The sequence below is a fragment of the Homo sapiens genome, chromosome 9, assembly GCF_000001405.40.
Source record: "Homo sapiens chromosome 9, GRCh38.p14 Primary Assembly".
NCBI classification, from domain to species: Eukaryota; Metazoa; Chordata; class Mammalia; order Primates; family Hominidae; genus Homo; species Homo sapiens.
The window spans coordinates 6,691,121-6,711,194 of record NC_000009.12 but is presented as its reverse complement, the minus strand read 5'-3'; the positions used below and the strand labels follow the sequence as shown (position 1 = coordinate 6,711,194).

Here is a 20,074-nt window from a genome sequence, read left to right as displayed (position 1 = left end):
ATAATATTATAATATATAATATTATTATAATATATAATATTATAATATATAATAATATATAATATTATATAATTATATATATTATATAATATATAATATTATATATATTATTATATAATAATATTATTATAATATACTCTCTCTATATATATAGTGTGTATGTGTGTGTGAGACAGGGTCTGGACAGGTCTGCCCAGGCTGGAGTGCAGTGTCACCATCTCAGCTCACTGCAGCCTCAACCTCCCAGGTTCAAGCAATCTTCCCACCTCAGCTTCCCAAGTATCTGGGACTACAGGCATGCACCACCAGGCCTGGCTAATTTTTGTATTTTTAGTAGAGACAGGATTTTTGCCATGTTACCAGGCTTGTCTCAAACTCCTGAGCTCAAGCGATCCGCCTGCCTCGGCTTCCCAAAGTGCTGGGATTACAGGCATGAGCCACCGTTCCTGCCCTGAAATGTGTACACTTTTTAATTTAAGAATGAAAGAAGACCGGGCGCTGTGACTCATGCCTGTAATCCCAGCACTTTGGGAGGCCGAGGCAAGTGGATCACCTGAGGTCAGGAGTTTGAGACCAGCCTGGCCAACATGGTGAAACCCTGTCTCTACTAAAAATACAAAAAGTAGCCAGGTGTGGTGGCAGGCGCCTGTAATCCCAGCTCCTCAGGAGGCTGAGACAGGAGAATTGCTTGAACCCAGGAGTCAGAGGTTGTAGTGAGCCGAGATTATGCCACTGCACTCCAGCCTGGGTGGCACAGCAAGACTGTGTCCCCCCCAAAAAAAAAAAAAAAAGAGCCAGTCAGGCACAGTGGCTCACGCCTGTAATCTCAGCACTTTGGGAGGCTGAGGTGGGCAGATCACCTGAGGTCAGGAGTTCGAGACCATCCTGGCCAACAAGGTGAAACCTCATCTCTACTAAAAATAGAAAAATTAGCCGGGCATTGTGGTGTGCGCCTATAATCCCAGCCAGTCTGGAGGCTGAGGCAGCAGAATTGCTTGAACCTGGGAGGTGGAGGTTGTAGTAAGCCGAGATTGTGCCACTGCACTCCAGGCTGGGCCACATAATTAGACTCCGTCTCAAAAAAAAAAAAAAAAAAAAGAATGAAAGAGCCTTGCTGGGTGGTGGCTCACACCTGTAATCCCAACATTTTGAGAGGCCAAGGCAGGCAGATCACGAGGTCAGGAGATCAAGACCATCCTGGCTAACACGGTGAAACCCCATTTCTACTAAAAATACAAAAAAATTAGCCAGACGTGGGGGTACACGCCTGTAACCCAGCTACTCAGGAGGCTGAGGCAGAAGACTCACTTGAACCCGGGAGGCGGAAGTTGCAGTGAGCCAAGATCACACCATTGCACTCCAGCCTGGAGACACAGCGAGACTTTGTCCCAAAAAAAAAAAAAAAAAAAGTAAAAGAAAAAAGAAAAAAAAGAGAAAGAGCCTTTGTTTTTAAATTTAAGCGTAATTTTAAAAAAATTTTTTTTGAAATATATTCTCACTCTGTAACCCAGGCCCCAGATTAGAATGCAATGGAGTGATCATAGCTCACTACATCTTAAATTTCTGGGTTCAAGTGATCCTCCCTTCTCAGCTTCTTGAATAGCTAGGACTACAGGCATGTATTGCCTCAGCCTACTAATTTTTAATTTTTTTTTTTTTTTTTTTTGAGATGGAGTCTCACTCTGTCGCCCAGGCTGGAGTGCAGTGGTGGGATCTCGGCTGACTACAACCTCCAACTCCCAGGTTCAAGCGATTCTCCTGCCTCAGCCTCCCAAGTAGCTGGGATTACAGGCACCTGCCAACACATCCAACTAATTTTTGAGTTTTTAGTAGAGACGGGTTTTCACCATACTGGTCAGGCTGGTCTTGAACTCTTGGCCTCAGGTGATCTGCCCGCTTCAGCCTCCCAAAGTGCTGGGATTACAGGTGTGAGCCACTGCACTTGGCCAAACTTTTAAATTTTTTTGTAGAGACAGGTTTTCACTGTGTTGTCCAGGCCGATCTTAAACTCCTGGCCTCAGGCAATCCTGCCACCTTGGCCTCTCAAAGTGCTGGGATTATAGGTGTGAGGCACCATGCCTGATGTTTTAAGTGTAATTTAATAATAGTATCTTTAAGCATTATTTTATTAGATCTTGTTGCAGCTCTTTTACTACTGTAGTTCAATGAGCTCCAAGTTCTTGTCCCACGGTTGAGAAGAATGAGGTACATGGACACCAGAGAGTAACTAAGGCAGAGTAGAATTTGTTGAGCAAAAGAAAAGCTCTCAACAGCAAGATGGGACCCAAAGGTGGGTTGCTAGTGATGAGGCCGAGTCTAGAGGTTTCTATAGGCTTGAAATGGGGAAGTGTGTGCTGACTGGTCTGTGGGTATGCTTGAAAAACACCATTCAGAAATAGGCACAAAAGTGTAGAGGACCAATTGGGGAAGGGAGGTAATGATTCAATACATCATCTCATATATATATATTATATATAATTATATATAATATATAATATTATATATAATTATATATAATATATAATATTATATATAATTATATATAATATATAATATATATAATTATATATAATATATAATATTATATATTATAAATATATATTATAAAAAAATAGCTGAAGGATAAAGACCAATCAGGAAAGAGCATGCCAAACAGGAATGGGATCTCTAAATCTGGTTTGTGGATTTAGCCAGAACTTGTAGCTTGGTTTTCAGGCTTCAGACTATCCTTAGCTCGAAGGTTGAGTTTCACCAGGGACCCATCCCTGTCTGCCTAAAAATTTACCTGCCTCCTATCACTATCAATCTCCTGTATGATGACTCTACAAGTAAGTGGATAAGGCAAAAGCCTTTCTAAACAGGTGATGGGTATTCATCTTTCTGCCACAAGATATCACTATGTTTAGTCTCTGGACCTACCTACTTACTCTTTTTTTATTTTGTTTTGTTTTTTTGAATACAGAGTCTTGCTTTCTCACCGAGGCTGGAGTGCAGTGGTATGATCTCGGCTCACTGCAACCTCTGCCTCCTGGGTTCAAGCGATTCTTCTGCCTCAGCCTCCCGAGTTGCTGGGAATACAGGTGTGTGCCACCACGCCTGGCTAATTTTTAGTAGAGACGGGGTTTCACCATGTTGGCCAGGTTGGTCTTGAACTCCTGACCTCAGGTGATCCCTCCCAATGTGCTGGGATTCCAGGCATGAGCCACTGTGCCCGGCCGCTACCTATTCTTTATTCCTTCCAGGTACTACTCAGTGTTAATCAGTTTCACTGTACACTGGTTATCAACTTGAGTCCAGTGATATACAACACCCATGCACACAATTTATACTTAATGGAACCCCATGATTGTTACTGGAGTATTTAGCATTACATATTACCCCTTTTATAATAGCTATACAAAAATTACCCATGAGTGAATGAGCTGAAGCAGGTTTATTGCTTATGGATAGGCAGCAAGGAGCAACAGAAGCCTAGGATTTATTGTGAGCTGGTCCCCCAAGGGTCAAGAAAGCTGCCCAGGGCAGACAGGGTCTCAACTGTGTGTACTCCACTTGAACCACAGCCGAGAAATCCCAGAAAGCAGCCCTCTCTGGGTTATATCCTCAGGGGCCACAAGACTTGCTGGGCTAAAATGTTGGAGGACATGTCGCTTCTAGGGGAAAAAGAAACAAAGTCCAGGCTGTTCCAGCCAGTTCCTCCCCTATCTCAGGATACTGCATTCCAAGCATATTCTATAGTTATTCTTTTTTTTTTTTTTTGAGGTGGAGTTTCGCTCTTGTTGCCCAGGCTGGAGTACAATGGCACGATCTTGGCTCACGGCAACCTCTGCCTCCCAGATTCAAACAATTCTTCTGCCTCAGCCTCCCAAGTAGCTGGGATTACAGGCATGTACCACCACGCCCGGTTAATTTTGTATTTTTTTTTTAGTTGAGACAGGGTTTCTCCATGTTGGTCAGGCTGTTCTCAAACTCCCAACCTCAGGTGATAACGCCCGCCTCAGCCTCCCAAAGTGCTGGGATTACAAGGTGTGAGCCACCGCGCCTGGCTCTTCAGTTATTCTTGAAAACCACGGCCAGGCGCAATGGTTCGTGCCTGTAATCCCAGCACTTTGGGAGGCTGAGTTGGATCACTTTAGGTCAGGAGTTGGAGATCAGCCTGGCTAACATGGTGAAACCCTGTCCCTACTAAAAATACAAAAACTAGCCATGTATGTTGGTATGCATCTGTAGTCCCAGCTACTCGGGAGGCTGAGGCAGGAAAATCACTTGAACCCAGGAGGCAGAGTTTGCAGTGAGCCGACATTGTGCTACTGCATTCCAGCCTGGGCAACAGAGTGAGACTCTGTCTGAAAAAAAAATAGTAATAATAATTAAACCACAAGCATGAAAAGAAGAACTGGGTTGGGGTCTGAGGCCACCCAGAGAATTGTTCTCCACCCCAGCTCAAAACTTGGTCTTATTGTTGTTTCATCATGATGGATGTCTTCGTTGCTCCTCACAAACCCACTCACTTTTGGAATACCCACTTCTCTCTCTGGAATGTCCACTTCACAGAGATACCATGGCTATTCTTCCCTTTCTGTCAGTTCTGGCTTGCCATTCATTCCCACCCAACTGCAACATACCAGCTAGTAGCTGTTTTTCTCAAACCACACTCATGGACTACATCTCAAAAATAACTCCATTCTCTGAAGTATAGAACAAAGAAGGTCCAAATGGCCTCACTCCCAAGGCTGAAAGTTGTTCTGTAAGCTCAGCTAGGACTCTCAGGCAGGGGCCTCAGTTCTCCATATGGGCTTGCGAAGGGAAAATAAAACTTGGGGCCCCAAAAATCACTAAGCTAAAGAGAAGACTGAAGCTAGGAACTGCTTAGGGCAAACCTGCCTCCCACTGTATTCAAAGTCATTCCTCAGCTCGCTGAGATACACATCTGACTGCTTCCTTTGAAAAGGCTAATCAAACTCAAAAGAATGCAACCGTTTGCCTCTTATCTACCTATGACCTGGAAACCCACTCCCCTCTTTGAGTTGTTCTGCCTTTGCCTCGAGTCTGCCTTTGCGTCAAATTGTCACGCCTTTCTGGAAAAAACCAATGTTCATCTTACATATATTGATTGATGTCTCCCTAAAATGTATAAAAGTAAGTTGTACTGGGACCACCTTGGGCACATGTAGTCAGGACCTCCTGAGGCTGTGTTATGGGTGTGCATCCTTACCTTTGGCAAAATAAACTTCCTAAACTGACTGAGGCCTAACTCAGATATTCAGGGTTTACAGGCTTCTTGGGCTTCCTCATGGTGGCAGCTGAAGTCTAAGCAGGAGCCTTCAAAGAGTTCAGAATTGCATAATGCCAGGGCAGTTCAAAGAAAAACATTGTTTGGTAAAAGTGCTTAACCTATACACCAAAGGAAAATTTATAGCTGATGTTGTTTTTTTGTTGTTTGTCTGGTTTGAGACAAAATCTCGCTGTGTCACCCAGGCTAGAGTGCAGTGGTGGCATCTCAGCTCACTCCAACCTCCATCTCCTGGGTTCAAGCGATTCTCCTGCCTCAGCCACTCAGGTAGCTGGGATTACAGGCGTGCACCACCACACACGGCTAATTTTTATATTTTTAGTAGAGATGGGGTTTCATCATGTTGGCCAGACTAGTCTCGAACTCCTGACCTCAAGCAATCTGCCTCCCTCGGCCTCCCAAAGGGCTGGGATTACAGGTGTGAGCCACCGCGCTGGCCTGTACCTAGTTTTGAATCATGCGTTTCTACAAAGCAGCCTGAGGAAAGCATGCCAAACAAACCTCCACCCTGAAAAGGAGAAGATGGCCCTAGGATGGGTTAATAATCAAGGGCCATGAGGAAAGGATAACCTAAGGTGGAGTCCTAAAGGCCTAAAAAGGTGGGATCAGTTTAATGTATACAGTCTTTTTTTTTTTTTTTTTTTTTTGAGACAGAGTCTGGCCATCACCTAGGCTGGAGTGCAGTGGCTCGATCTCGGCTCATTGCAACCTCCGCTTCCCAGGTTCAAGCGATTCTCATGCCTCAGCCTCTTGAGTAGCTAGGACTACAGGCGCCCGCCACCACGCCCGGCTAATTTTTATATGTATTTTTAGTAGGGACGGAGTTTCACCATGTTAGCCAGGCTGGTCTTGAACTCCTGACATAGTGATCCGCCCACCTTGGCCTCCCAACGTGCTGGGATTACAGGCGTGAGCCACTGCGCCCGGCGGATGATCCATTTTTACAGATGGGAGGCATGTACTATCTTAAGCGTGAGAGACAGGCTACTAGAAAGGCCAAGACCATGGATTTCAACAAGTGGGGAAAAGTCCCAAAGGCGCAGATGGTTATAAAGGCCCTCCTGGGATAAGATACTTTGGCTGTAGACGCTGTAGAAAGTACTGGCCCCAGGAAGGAAAAATGGAAAAGCTGGCTGCAGGGTCTGGGGATATCCTAAGAGAACTTTCTGCGGCTGTAGGCTTTGGGAAAAGGGCCCTGAGGGCTGAGGGACAGGGCTGGGTCTGTCATCTAGTGACATCCGCACCCACCGAAGCTCCGCTGGGCTGCACCGCCAACTCTGGTCCTCTAGAGAGCTGCGAGGATGGGGATCAAACACTCAGTGGGGCCGGGCAGGCTGTCTGTGTCCGCAGCCCGCTCAACACGACGCCGGCATATCGCAGCGAACAGGAGAGGAGACGTCGCAGTCCCAGTAGTCTGTCTCCGCGTTTCTTGGCTGCCTGGTCCCGGCCCTGGTGCAGGGGGAAGACGATTACTTGGGATCTTGGGTCGGGACTCGGAGGGGCAAGGTAGAAAGGCAAAGGGGGCCGGTACTAACGGTGCGATTTGAGACTGTTCTACCTGAGTGACAGCGGACGCTCGCGCACGCGCGGAAAGACTTGGATGCCGCCCTCCCTGCGGCGCCCGAGGACCTCACGTGACCCCGAGGTCCTCACGTGACCCCCCACCAGCCAGCGAAGCGGGGTGGTCAGCGCCTCCGCAACGCATGTGGGTCAGCTGGCTGACGGGACCAGGATCTTCCCGGCGGCTCAGTGCAGTCGCTGAGCTAACGCCACAGTCTGGAAGTTGCCTGTTTCGTCAGAGCTGGGGAGATACTTGGGCAGGAAAGAGGAACTGAGGCCCAAGCGGCCGCGGGACTCCTTTAGGGCGGGACCTGCTGGTGTCCACCCGCCCCACTTAGTAATAGGTTTCCACGCCGGCCTGGGACCTTCTGGAGCGGTGACCTCAGAGGCGCGGCCATGGAGGTACCAGTGCAGGTGTCACCAGCCTCTGGGCGGTCCCTAAGGATTTTTTTTTTTTTTTGAGATGGAGTTTCGCTCTGTCGCCCAGGCTGGAGTGCAGTGGCGCGATCTCGTCTCACTGCAACACCCTCCTCCTGGGTTCAAGCGATGCTCCTACCCCAGCCTCCCGAGTAGCTGGGACCACACGAGCGCGCCACCACGCCCGACCAATTCAAGGGGAGCACTTCAACAATGACCATGTTGTAAGCTTCCGGGAGCGCAGATTCCGTGTGTTGGCGGCACCGGTGTGGAGTGTGTTCTACTCCCGCAGGTGTGAGCCTTCAGATGGGGAACGTGCGCTGGAAATTTCTGAGGAATGCTTGAACCAGGCCGGCTTTGGGCTGAAATTGAAAAAATTAGAAGTGCAGGTGTATCCTGGTTCTTTTCAGTGTATCGAAGTCGGGCTGTTGCAACCTTCGTTTTTGCACTTTAACGTTAGCTCTTCAGGGTATTAAATTTAGGGCTTTTGTGCTGTCAGAGGCAGATGGCCAAACGTACCGAACATTCTGCAAAGGTGAAATGAATTTTCTTAACTGCCCTGAAGTGTCTCAACTGCCAGGCCCTTGCGGGCCTTTGTTCCGTAACGTTCTCAGCTAAGAAAGATTACACGATCAATGGATTTGGGCAGGGTAATTGCTAAGTTTCTTCTTTCAAGTTATACTTTGATGTAAAGACTCCATTTCAATGCTACAAAACTCTTAATTTCAGCTTATTTGAAACATTCTACGAGCTCTACTCCCAGATGTTTTCTTGGTTTTGAGGGACACAGTGAGGATGAAGGGAACATGATATTCATGGTGGTAAAGGCAAAAATGTTGTTTACTCCACACACAAGACGAATTTTCCCTATACTAGAAGACAATTGAGTATTTTCCTAATAAGGTGTACAATATCGAGCTTCCAAGTCTACTTAGGAGACAAGGTGATGAGAGATTATGATAAGAGCAACAAGTCATAAACATAATGGTGACTGAATTATCTATAATCACCAAAGACTCAATGACTCATATCCCATGCTATCTCAAAGACATTTCACCCAGTTTTTCCCTCCATTGGTTCAAAATAAGATCACTGTCTTCTCCCTGACATGCTTTTTTTTTTTTTTTTTTTTTTTTTTTTTTGAGACTGTCGCTCTGTCGCCCAGGCTGGAGTGCAGTGGCTGCAAGCTCCACCGCTCCACCTCCCGGGTTCACGCCATTCTCCTGCCTCAGCCTCCCGAGTAGCTGGGACTACAGGCGCCCACCACTACGCCTGGCTAATTTTTTTGTATTTTTAGTAGAGACGGGGTTTCACCGTGTTAGCCAGGATGGTCTTGATCTCCTGACCTCGTGATCTGCCCACCTCGGCCTCCCAAAGTACTGGGATTACAGGCGTGAGCCACCGGGCCTGGCCTTTTTTCTTTTTTTTAAATTTAGATGGGGTCTCACTCTGTTACCCAGGCTGGAGTGCAGTGACCTGATCTTGGCTCACTGCAGCCTCCACCTCTCACCTCACCCTCCTGAGTAGATGGGACTACAGGCACAGGCCATCACGCCTTGGTATAGCATGATTTTTAAATTTGACTTCTAGGACACCCATTTTCTTGGTTTTCCCCTACTTCTGTTTCTGCTCCTGATTCTCAGTGGTTTTTGCTAATTCTCTCTTCTCACCACCTTTTAATTTGGAGTGTCCCCAAGTGTAATTCATGGTCCTCTTCTGTATCTAACCCTCACTTTCTTGGTGATCTTACCATGTCTCATGGGTTTAAATTTTATCTGCCATTCATCTCTGGTTATACATTTCTCAAATGCCATACTTTTACATCCAACTGCCCTCTTTTTTTTCTTTTCTTTTCTTTTTTTTTTTTTGAGACGGAGTCTCGCTCTGTCGCCCAGGCTGGAGTGCAGTGGCATGATCTCGGCTCACTGCAACCTCCACGTCCTGGGTTCATGCCATTCTCCTGCCTCAGCCTCCTGAGTTGCTGGGACTACAGGCACCTGCCACCATGCCTGGCTAATTTTTTGTATTTTTAGTAGAGACGGGGTTTCACCGTGTTAGCCAGGATGGTCTCGATCTCCTGACCTCGTGATCCGCCCGCCTCGGCCTCCCAAAGTGCTGGGATTATAGGCGTGAGCCACCACGCCTGGCCCCAACTGCCTTCTTGACATCTCTACACAGATGTCCAATAAACATCTGAAAATTGATGTGTCAATACTGAACTCATGATCTTCCTCTCTACACCTACTCCACCATGGCCTTTCCCATTATAAATGGCAGCAATTCCATCCTTTTAGTTGTTTATGCCAAAGCCTGCTTTCTTCCATTCCTCCAGTCATCAGGACGTCATGTTGACTCTACCTTCAAAACATGTCCCAAATCTGACCTTTTCTCAACCACCTCCACAGTGAACACCTTAGTTAGCTGTATTGTCATTGCAGGAGCCCCCTAACAGCTGTCTCTGCCTCTATCCTACTCCCCTCCCTGCCCCAGCCTCCCAGTGTCAATGCAGCAGCCGGAGTGACTGTTTTAAAAGCTAAGTCAGATCACATCACTCTTCTGCGGAAAACACTATCATGGCTTCTGGTTTCATTCAGAGTAAAAGCCAAAATCCTTAGAATAGCCTTCAAGGCCTGAAATGACCTGAATTCTGTTAGTCATGGTTCTAGCAGGAAACAGCTGGCATGTTCAAATTAGGATAGTTTAAGGAGAATTTTTAAAAGGGGTTATTTTAAAAGGTGTGAGTAGAGGAAAAGGAATGATTGTTCAACAACCTTGGGTCTAGTAACAGCGGGGCCTTTATAGCATCCCTACGCTGGAAGGGGCAAGGAACTGAGTGGTACCAGATCCCCAAAACAGAGAGGACTGAGGCGATAGCCACCTGTCAGGAGTTGAACCCTTCAGTGGGATGCAGCCAGCCAGTGAGCATCTTGCTTAGAGAGAGCAAGAGCGATGAATACCCAGATCCGACTCTCCTCACTCGCTCTCTTTTGTAGGTGCCCTGTTAGGAGATCCAACAGAAAGCCAGATGGCAAGGGTGTAGTCCCTAGAGGGCACCCTCCTGGGCTCACAGCAGGATGGAAGAAGGTAAAGGGTGGTCTGGAGGGCCACATATGGGATACCGAGCACCCTCTCTAAGCTCAGCCTGACCCTCCCCTTCCATTCATTCCCTCAAACCACACTGGCCTTGTTATCCTACAAGATCCCCATGCTTCTCTCTTAGGGCCTGTTTTAGCTACCCCCTCTGCCTGGAATATTCTTTCCCACATATTTTTTGGGCTAATGTCCTCATTTCCTTTGGCCTTTGCTCAGCTATCATTATCCTCTCAAATAGGACATCTTGGCCGCGCATGGCTGCTCATGCCTGTAATCCTAGCACTTTGGGAGGCCGAGGCAGGTGGATCACCTGAGATCAGGAGTTTGAGACCAGCCTAGCCAACATGGTGAAAACCCATCTCTACTAAAAATACAAAAATTAGCCAGGCGTGGTGGCACATGCCTGTAATCCCAGCTACCCAGGAGGCTACTCCTAGCTACTCAGGAGACAGGCAGGAGAATCGCTGGAACCCAGGAGGTGGAGGCTGCAGTGAGCCAAGATCGTACCACTGCACTCCAGTCTGGGTGACAGAGCGAGACTCCATCTCAAAAAAAAAAAAAAACAAACCCAAAAAGGACATCTTGATCACCCATTCAGCACTGCCACCCACCACCCAGCACTCCTGACCCTGCTACACTGTTGTACTTTTTCTTTCATCCATAGCACTTAACTTCCTGCATATTCTATCCTTCACTTATTTATTTTGCACTGTTTATTTCCTCCATCCCTCCACTAAGATTGAGCTCCGCAAGTGGAAGAATCTTTGTCAGCTTAGTTGATTGATGTATTCTAAGTGCCTAGATCAAATAATGCTTGTTGAATGAATTAACGGTCCTTTAGTACTTACTGAGTTCTAAGTTCTTTAAATGGATAGCGTTACATACAAAGAGAAAGGAACTACCATTATTCTATTTTTCAGATGAGGAGACTCTACTTTTTCACATTTTTCTTTTTTTAAAATTTTTTCAATATAAGTTTTACTTTTTTTTTTTTTTTTTTTTTGAGGCAGGGTCTCACTCTGGTTGCCCAGGCTGATATGTAGAGGCACAATCTCGGCTCACTGCAGCCTTAACCTTCCAGGCTCAGGTGATTCTCCCACCTCAGCCACCTGAGGATCTAGGATTACATGACCAGCTAATTTTTTGTATTTTTAGTAGAGGCAGGGTTTTGCCATGTTGCCCAGGCTGGTCTCAAACTCCTGGGCTCAAGTGATCCTCCTGCCTTGACCTCCCAGAGTGCTGGGATCACAGGCATGAGCCACCACACGTGGCCAGAATTTTTCCTTCTTAGCAGTGTCTTCAAACACTTGGTCTATTCCGTTCTTTTTTTTTTTTTTTTTTTTTTTGAGTTGGAGTCTTGCTCTGTCACCCAGGCTGGAGTGCAATGATGCGATCTTGGCTCACTGCAACCTCCGCCTCCCGGGTTCAAGCAATTCTCCTGCCTCAGCCTCTCAAGTAGCTGGGACTACAGGCACACACCACCAGCCTGGCTAATTTTTGTAGTTTTAGTAGAGATGGGGTTCTACCATATTGGTCAGGCTGGTCTTGAACTCCTGACCTCAGGTGATCCACCCGCCTCAGCCGAAGTGCTGGGATTACAGGCTTGAGCCACCACACCCAGCCGATATTCTGTTCTTTATTAAAAGTAAGGTTCTGGCTGGGTGGGATCATAATCCCAGCTACTTAGGAGGCTGAGGCAGGAGAATCTCTTGAACCAAGGAGGCGGAGGTTGCAGTGAGCCGAGATTGCACCATTGCACTCCAGCCTGGGCAATAAGAATGAAACTCTATCTCAAAAAAAGAAAAAAAGAAAGAAAATAAAAAGCTTGCCCAATCCCTGATCTACATGACTCAAAATATAAAATGCAATTGTGTTCCGAGTCTACAAATTTTCATATATTTTCCTCAACAAATGTAAACTACATATAGTTTATATAACACAAATAATCTTAATTATTAACATTACTGTATAAAATTTAAAAACTAAAATTATTTGGGAAAGCACAGTCACAGATCCTTCCTGTGACTTGTGTTTTTCCCAGGCAACTAAAATAAAATTGTTCTTTTAAAAAATTAAAATTACTTTCACAATTTTGTTTTTGAGATGGAGTTTTCCTCTTGTTGCTCAGACTGGAGTGCAATGGCACGATCTCAGCTCACTGCAACCTCCACCTCCTGGGTTCAAGCGATTCTCCTGCCTCAGCCTCCCAAGTAGCTGGGATTACAGGCATGCACCACCACGCCCAGCTAATTTTGTATTTTTAGCAGAGACAGGGTTTCACCATATTGGTCAGGCTGGTCTCAATCTCCTGACCTCAGGTGATCCACCCGCCTCAGCCTCCCAAAGTGCTTGGGATTACAGGAGTGAGCCACTGTGCCCGGCCCACAATATTTTTTAAAAGTTATTTTTCTTTTAACATTTTCTGAACTACCAAATGGCAAAATATATTATGGTTAATGAACATGGGCTAGTCACAGTGGCTCACACTTGGAATCTCAGTGCTCTGAGAGGCTGAGGGAGGATCACTTGAGCCCAGGAGTTGGAGGCTGCAGTGAGCTGTGATCACACCACTGCACTCCAGCCTGGACGACACAGCAAGACTGTCTCAAAAAAAATAAATAAATAATAAAAAGAATATAAAGATTTAGAGTTAAAATGACAAATAAAAATGAACAATATTATTTAATTTCTGGAAAATGTAAATAAATATTTTTTTTTGTTTTTTGAGACGGAGTCTCTCTCTGTCTCCCAGGCTGGAGTGCAATGGCGTGATCTTGGCTCACTGCAACCTCTGCCTCCTGTGTTCAAGTAATTCTCCTGCCTCAGCCTCCTGAGTAGCTGGGATTACACACGTGCACCACCACGCCCAGCTAATTTTGTATTTTTAGTAGAGACGGGGTCTCACCATGTTGGTCAGGCTTGTCTTGAACTCCTGACCTCAGATGATCCACCCTTTGGCCTCCTAAAGTGCTGGGATTGCAGGTGGGAGCCACCATGCCTGGCCTGTTAAATATTTTTGTAAAAATAAAACTAACATGATTTCAGCATTCAACATCCATTCCATAGCCAGCATTAACAGCACCATATATATTTTTTTTTTTTTTTTTTTTTTTGAGACAGAGTCTCGCTCTGTCACCCAGGCTGGAGTGCAGGGGCGCGATCTCCCTCTCACTGCAAGCTCTGCCTCCCGGGTTCACGCCATTCTCCTGCCTCAGCCTCCCAAGTAGCTGGGACTACAGGCACCAGCCACCACGCCCGGCGTGAGCCACCGCGCCCGGCCAACAGCAAACAGCACCATATTTCAGGTATTAGATCTTTTTTTTTTTTTTTTTTTTGAGATGGAGTCTTGTCTCTGTCACCCAGGCTGGAGTGCAATGGCATGATCTTGGCTCACTGCAACCTCTGCCTCCCCCATTCAAGCGATTCTCCTGCCTCAGCCTCCTGAGTAGCTGGGACTACAGGCCCATACCACCATGCCCGGCTAATTTTTGTGTTTTAGTAGAGACAGGGTTTCACCATGTTGGCCAGGCTGGTCTTAAACTCCTGACCTCAGGTGATTTGCCCTCTTTGGCCTCCCAAAGTGCTGGGATTACAGGCATGAGCCACCACGCCTGGCCTCATGTATTAGATTTTGACAGGTGTATATACAACTTTAAGGATAGTATAAATTGCTTAATATTCCTAAAGTTTCTCAACCAAAGGTGTTGTAAATACTGTGCTAAGTGAATTCATGAGTGATCCTGGAACTACTCATTGAAATATGAAGAGAAGCACAAAAAATCCCTTGCAATCACACTATCTGAAAGGAAGGATTTGATAAAATAATTTTTTTTTCTTCTTTTTTTTTTGAGATGGAGTCTCACTCTGTCACCCAGGCTGGAGTGCAGTGGCATGATCTCAGCTCACTGCAACCTCTGCCTGCTGGGTTCAAGCAGTTCTCCTGCCTCAGCCTCCCAAGTAGCTGGGACTGTAGGCACCTGCCACCACGCCCAGCTAATTTTTTGTATTTTTAGTAGACATGGGGTTTCACCATGCTGGCCAGGCTGGTCTCGAACTCCTGACCTCGTGATCCACCCACCTTGGCCTCCCAAAGTGCTGGGATTACAGGCATGAGCCACCGCGCCCGGCCGACAAAATAATTTTTACAGTCTCCTGCTTAAGTACTTCTGCCACTCAAACCCTCTCCAGTCTTTGAAGTAGTATCTGTCTCTGACATTGGCCATGCACAGCTGAGGAGCATTTATAGCATTTGGACACAGTTGTGGGTTTTTTTGAGGACATAAAGCAAGAGATATGCTGAAGTGTTTATCTTCCTAAGGCTTTAGCAGTTTAGTATGTGTTAAATGAGATTTATAGGAGGCCATTGTTTTAGACTGACCTCCTGCACTAGGCCCCAGCAGACCAGACCAAATCAAAATGGAGTCACTCATGCTAAAGTTTATATGACCTTTCAAGAAAGCAGGAGAGATAGGCCGAACGTGGTGGCTCACGCGTGTAATCCCAGCACTTCGGGAGGCCAAGGCGGGCGGATCATGAGGTCAAGATTGAGACCATCTTGGCCAACATGGTAAAACCCGGTCTCTACTAAAAGTACAAAAATTAGCTGGGTGTGGTGGTGCGTGCCTGTAGTCCCAGCTACTCAGGAGGCTGAGGCAGGAGAATCGCTTGAACCTGGGAGGTGGAGGTTGCAGTGAGCCAAGATTGCACCACTGCACTCTAGCCTGTCAACAAAGCAAGACTCCCTCTCAAAAAAAAAGAAAGAAGAAAAGAAAAAGAAAGAAAGAACTCAGGAGAGATATGACAGCAAAATCCCTAAACAGGCCAGTTTTAGCCAGCATGATAAGGCAGTCCTCTCTACTTTAACTCTTACAAGAAAAGTAACCTGGGCGAGGCGCGGTGGCTCACTCCTGTAATCCTAGCACTTTGGGAGGCCAAGGCAGGTGGATCACCTGAGGTCAGGAGTTTGAGACCAGCCTGGCCAACAGGGCAAAACCCCGTCTCTACTAAAAATACAAAAAAATTATCTGGGCATGGTGGCCAGCACCTGTAATCCTAGCTACCTGGGAGGCTGAGGTAGAATCGCTAGAACCCTGGGGGCGGAGGTTGCAGTGAGCCAAGATCACGCTACTGTACTCCAGCCTGGCCTGGGTGACAGAGCGAGACTCCATTTCAGAAAAAAAAAAGTAACCTGAAGTAACTTGATGTTAACCATTCTGCTTTTTGTGTTATTCTATTTCCTTGTTCCTGTTCATACTACCGTTTACAAACTGTTCTGCCATGCCCAACAGAGCACCTTTGCTAAATCTTTAGATGAGATGTTGCCTAAATAAATCTCTAACAAAAGCCAATTCGATCTTCAATTATGTTTTTTATGTGTTAAAATTTTGTTTTTTAAACTTATGTTTGTGATATGTAGGGGCCAGTAAAGTGCAAGTCCCTCTTACCAAGTCTGGGTGTAAATATTGCCTTATCGGGTATCTCTGAAAAGCCCCAAGTACAGGCTGCATCTTTCCACTGGGCCATGTAGCATAAATATAACCACAGTAAAGCATGACCACTGGAAAAAATGAATGTCCAGATAAACCTGTGCAATCCCCCTGTGTTGCTATTAACTTAAAACCTCCTTTGTATTGATTCACAAGCCTCTGAATTTCCTCTGAGGATGCCAGGAACAATTTGATGACCAGAATCATCAACTTAATTGCTTCAATATATGCCTAATTACTTGATGCATTATTGTTAAAAGTCTGTAACCTTTCGGGGGACCCACCATAGAAAGGATGCATTTGAACACCCAGCTACTGACCAAAACATCTGTGTTACAGTGGACGCTATCTCATTCAAGTTAAGTTAACTAAAGGCTGCTCCACAGATGTCTGTTAATGAATTTAACTCTTTTACTGCCCCACATCTAACTTTTGAGTAATTGGAAATACATAAAAATAGGGTAATTTCACTCTATTTAAAGGAAACCTAAATTAAAGCCTAGGAAGTAAAAAATGTGTTTGCATTTGCAGAAAGGATCTTAGTCTAGCAGAAGGCATTGAGTAAATCCTAAAATTTAAATGTGTCTTAATCTCTTTGTGCTGCTATAACAGAATCCCACACACTGGATAATTCATAAACAGAAATTTATTCACAGTTCTGGAGGCTGAGAAGTCCAATATCAAGGCACTGGCAGGTTTGGCAATTCTGATTCCAAGATGATGCCTTGAAGGTTGCATCCTTCAAAAGGGAGAAACACTTTGTTCCACATGGTGGGGATAGAAGGGCAAAAGAGATAGCGCAAGCTCCCTCCACCAAGCTCTTTATAATGGCATTAATCTGTGAAAAGAAATTAAATTTTGGGACCCCAAACTCATTTAGCCAAAAAGAAAAGTCAAGCTGTGAACTGGGTCACGCAAAACTGCCTCGCGCTTTTGGTTCCTAAACAAGATGGCTACAAGATGAAAAGCTACATGCCTCCCCCATATTTTGCCCACAAGGAAATTCCTGGTGAGTTCTTAGAAGTTCACCATGGCAGCCGGGAGCGGTGGCTCACGCCTGTAATCCTAGAACTTTGGGAGGCCGAGGCGGGTGGATCACAAGGTCAGGAGATCGAGACCATCCTGGCTAACACGGTGAAACCCCATCTCTACTAAAAATATAAAACATTAGCCGGGCATGGCGGCGGGCGCCTGTAGTCCCAGCTACTCGGGAGGCTGAGGCAGGAGAATGGCGTGAACTCGGGAGGCGGAGCTTGCAGTGAGCCGAGATCACGCCACTGCACTCCAGCCTGGGCGACAGAGCGAGACTCCGTCTCAAAAAAAAAAAAAAAAAAAAAAAAAAAAAGAAGTTCACCATGGCAATGCAATTTTTTTTTTTTTTTTTTTTGAGACTGGAGTGCAGTGGTGCGATCTCGGCTCACTGCAACCTCCACCTCCCGAGTTCAAGCAATTCTGTGCCTCAACCTCCCGAGTAGCTGGGACTACAGGTGCCCGCCACCACACCTGACTAATTTTTTTTTTTTTTTTTTTTGTATTTTTAGTAGAGACTGGGTTTCACCACCTTGGGCAGGTTGGTCTCAAACTCCCAACCTCAGGTGATCCACCCGCCTCAGCCTCCCAAAGTGCTGGGATTACAGGCGTGTGCCACTGTGCCCAGCCGACAATGCAAATTGATAGCTTAGCTTTACAGGTGCGGTCACCCCAGCCCACCAGACAAAAATGTGTACCTGATTGTTCCCCTACCCCATTTTGTCCGTATTATCTTAGGTAAAATGCAGATTCCCCATATTTTTTCCCTGCCTCTTTTGTTTATGTAAAAACTGTGTGCTTCTCAATATCCTGCCCTTTCCCCTTTAAATTTGGAACCCTCAAAATCATCTTCGGAGAAAGCATAGACCTGTCTCCTGTGCGCTTTCTTAACTTTGACAAATACATCTCCTAAAATGATTGAGACTTGTCTCATCATTTTTCTCGACTGACATCTGGTAATCAGGAAGGGATCCTAGATGAAAGTGGCCCAGCCTGCAGCAGTTCGCCTCTTGGTGCTTGGTGTTGGCTTGGACACCTTACAGCCCAAACCGACAAGACAATTTGCCAAAGTCCAGGACCTCTTTCCTCCGAGAATCTCTGATCTTCCAGCATTTTTCAGCTGGGGGTCTGAGGTTTATTTGCTGTTTTTTTTAAAAAAAACAAAACTCCCTTTTTGTGGGAGTTTTTCCATTCGCTTCCACCAAGGAAGGCGAATTCATCTGCTTCTGCATCAGTGGAGAGCGATCTCCGGCTTGGCCCCGTCACTAGGTAAGAAACTGGTTTGGGATTCTGTCTTGCAAATTCTTTTAAATGACTAAAATTAGCATGAACAACCAGCTGGTGTTAACTTCTGCTTACACTTAGGGCGCTCAGAAATAGTTGTGCTTAACTGTTTTGTTTCTGTCTTGGTCAAATCAGAAGGGGAACCCTAAATTACTGGGAACAAGGCCTCTGAAGTGGGAGGAAAACAGCCAACAAGAGGGAAAATATAAGAGAAAAGAAAAGATTTTAAATTTTAACTACTAAAGGGGCTCTATTTACATAACAAGGCCACCTTTTTGCCAGCCAGACCAAACTGAAAGAGCAATGCCTGTATTTCTGAAATAACAGCATTTTGTCTTAGCTGAAATATGGTAATAAGATTTTAAAAAGGCTGGGCACAGTGGCTCACACCTGTAATCCCAGCAGGTGGGGAGGCTGAGGCAAGTGGATCACGAGGTCTGGAGTTCAAGACCAGCCTAACATGGTGAAACCCTGTCACTACGAAAAATAAAAAAATTAGCCGGGCGTGGTGGTGCGTGCCTGTAATCCCAGCTACTCAGGAGGCTGAGGCAGGAGAATTACTTGAACACGGAAGGCAGAGGTTGCAGTAAGCCAAGATCACACCATTGCACTCCAGCCTGGGCGACAGAGAGAGACTCCGTCTCAAAAAAAAAAAGATAAAAAAATTTTTTTAAAAATGAGCTTAATGGTTAAAAGTCAGCTTAATTAAAAAGTTAACATCCAAGATGTGTGTGTGTATGTGTGCATGTGTGCATGTTCGTATTTGAAAGGCCTTTGTGTTTTTGTTTTTTGTTTGTTTTTCTCTCCTGAGACCTTGTCTTTTTTTTGCTTCTCAGTTGACTGAGTTCTGTTTTCACCTGATTTTTTGACTAAAACAGTTATTGTAACAGAAGCTCCTCTTAATTTTTTTTGTTTTTTGTTTTTTTTGAGATGGAGTTTCACTCTTGTCACCCAGGCTGGAGTACGATGGCATGATCTCGGCTCACTGCAACCTCCGCCTCCCAGGTTTAATCGATTCTCCTGCCTCAGCCTCCTGAATAGCTGGGATTACAGGCACCCACCACCATGCCCTGCTAATTTTTGTACTTTTAGTAGAGACGGGATTTCACCATGTTGACCAGGCTGGTCTCGAACTTCTGACCCAAGGTGATCCACCCACCTCGGCCTCCCAAAGTTATGGGATTACAGGCCTGAACCACCACGCTCAGCCTACTCTTGGATTTCTAAGGAACAATGAGACAGAGTCTCACCATGTTGGCCAGGCTGGTCTCGAACTCCTGACCTCATGTGATTGACCCACTCAGCCTCTCAAAGTGCTGGGATTACAGCATGGGCCATCACGCCTGGCCTAAAGTTAAATGATTTTATCTGGAAAAATCTTTCATAAATCTTTGTATTTTGCTATGGAAGCAGAGAGTTGTCACTTGAGTGAATAAATTATTTAGTTACAAAGGCCTAAAAACCAGGATGGTTGGGGTGGGTCATGCCCATAATCCCAGGATTTTGGGAGGCCCAGGTGGGAGGATCGCTTGAGGCCAGGAGTTCAAGACCAGCCTGGGCAACATAGCAAGACTCTGTCTCTGTAAAATCTTTTTAAAAATTGGCCAGACATGGTGACTACCGCCTGTAATCCCAGCAATTTGGGAGGCCGAGGCAGATGGATTACCTGAGGTCAAGAGTTCGAGACCAGCCTGGCTAACATGGTGAAACCCCGTTTCTACTAAAAATACAAAAATTAGCTGGGTGTGGTGGTGCACGCCTGTAGTCCCAGCTACTCAGGAGGCTGAGGCAGGAGAATTGCTTGAACCCAGGAGGCGGAGGTTGCAGTGAGCCAGATCGCACCACTGCATTCCAGCCTGGGTGACAAAGCAAGACTCTGTTTCAAAAATAAATAAATAAAAATAAAAAATAA

The 20,074-nt window shown here is 45.8% G+C and overlaps 1 long non-coding RNA gene across 2 annotated transcripts, besides 4 other annotated features; it reads right to left on the bottom strand.

Annotated features, from left to right (window-relative positions):
- Positions 1 to 3,414: 3,414 nt before the first annotated feature.
- On the bottom strand, positions 3,415 to 6,888 carry LINC02851 (long intergenic non-protein coding RNA 2851). Of its 2 annotated transcripts, none has more exons than NR_184133.1 (3): positions 6,829 to 6,888; positions 6,542 to 6,742; positions 3,415 to 3,653 (listed from the first exon to the last, which is right to left on the bottom strand). It is a non-coding gene; the product is annotated as a long intergenic non-protein coding RNA 2851 (long non-coding RNA). The 2 variants fall into 2 exon arrangements; NR_184134.1 differs by having other exon boundaries at positions 6,852 to 6,888.
- Positions 3,686 to 3,900: a silencer, noted in NCBI's record as "fragment chr9:6707295-6707509 (GRCh37/hg19 assembly coordinates)". NCBI's record gives its function as "represses an EF-1alpha promoter that drives an FKBP-Casp9 reporter gene in an ReSE screen in K562 erythroleukemia cells {active_cell/tissue: K562}" and the evidence as "EXISTENCE:reporter gene assay evidence [ECO:0000049][PMID:32094911]".
- Positions 6,607 to 6,736: an enhancer, noted in NCBI's record as "active region_28200". NCBI's record gives its function as "activates an Ori minimal core promoter by ATAC-STARR-seq in GM12878 lymphoblastoid cells {active_cell/tissue: GM12878}" and the evidence as "EXISTENCE:reporter gene assay evidence [ECO:0000049][PMID:35858748]".
- Positions 6,787 to 6,876: an enhancer, noted in NCBI's record as "active region_28199". NCBI's record gives its function as "activates an Ori minimal core promoter by ATAC-STARR-seq in GM12878 lymphoblastoid cells {active_cell/tissue: GM12878}" and the evidence as "EXISTENCE:reporter gene assay evidence [ECO:0000049][PMID:35858748]".
- Positions 19,125 to 19,735: an enhancer, noted in NCBI's record as "H3K27ac hESC enhancer chr9:6691460-6692070 (GRCh37/hg19 assembly coordinates)". NCBI's record gives its function as "activates a minimal SCP1, AML or CMV promoter by ChIP-STARR-seq in primed H9 embryonic stem cells {active_cell/tissue: H9 hESC(primed)}" and the evidence as "EXISTENCE:reporter gene assay evidence [ECO:0000049][PMID:30033119]".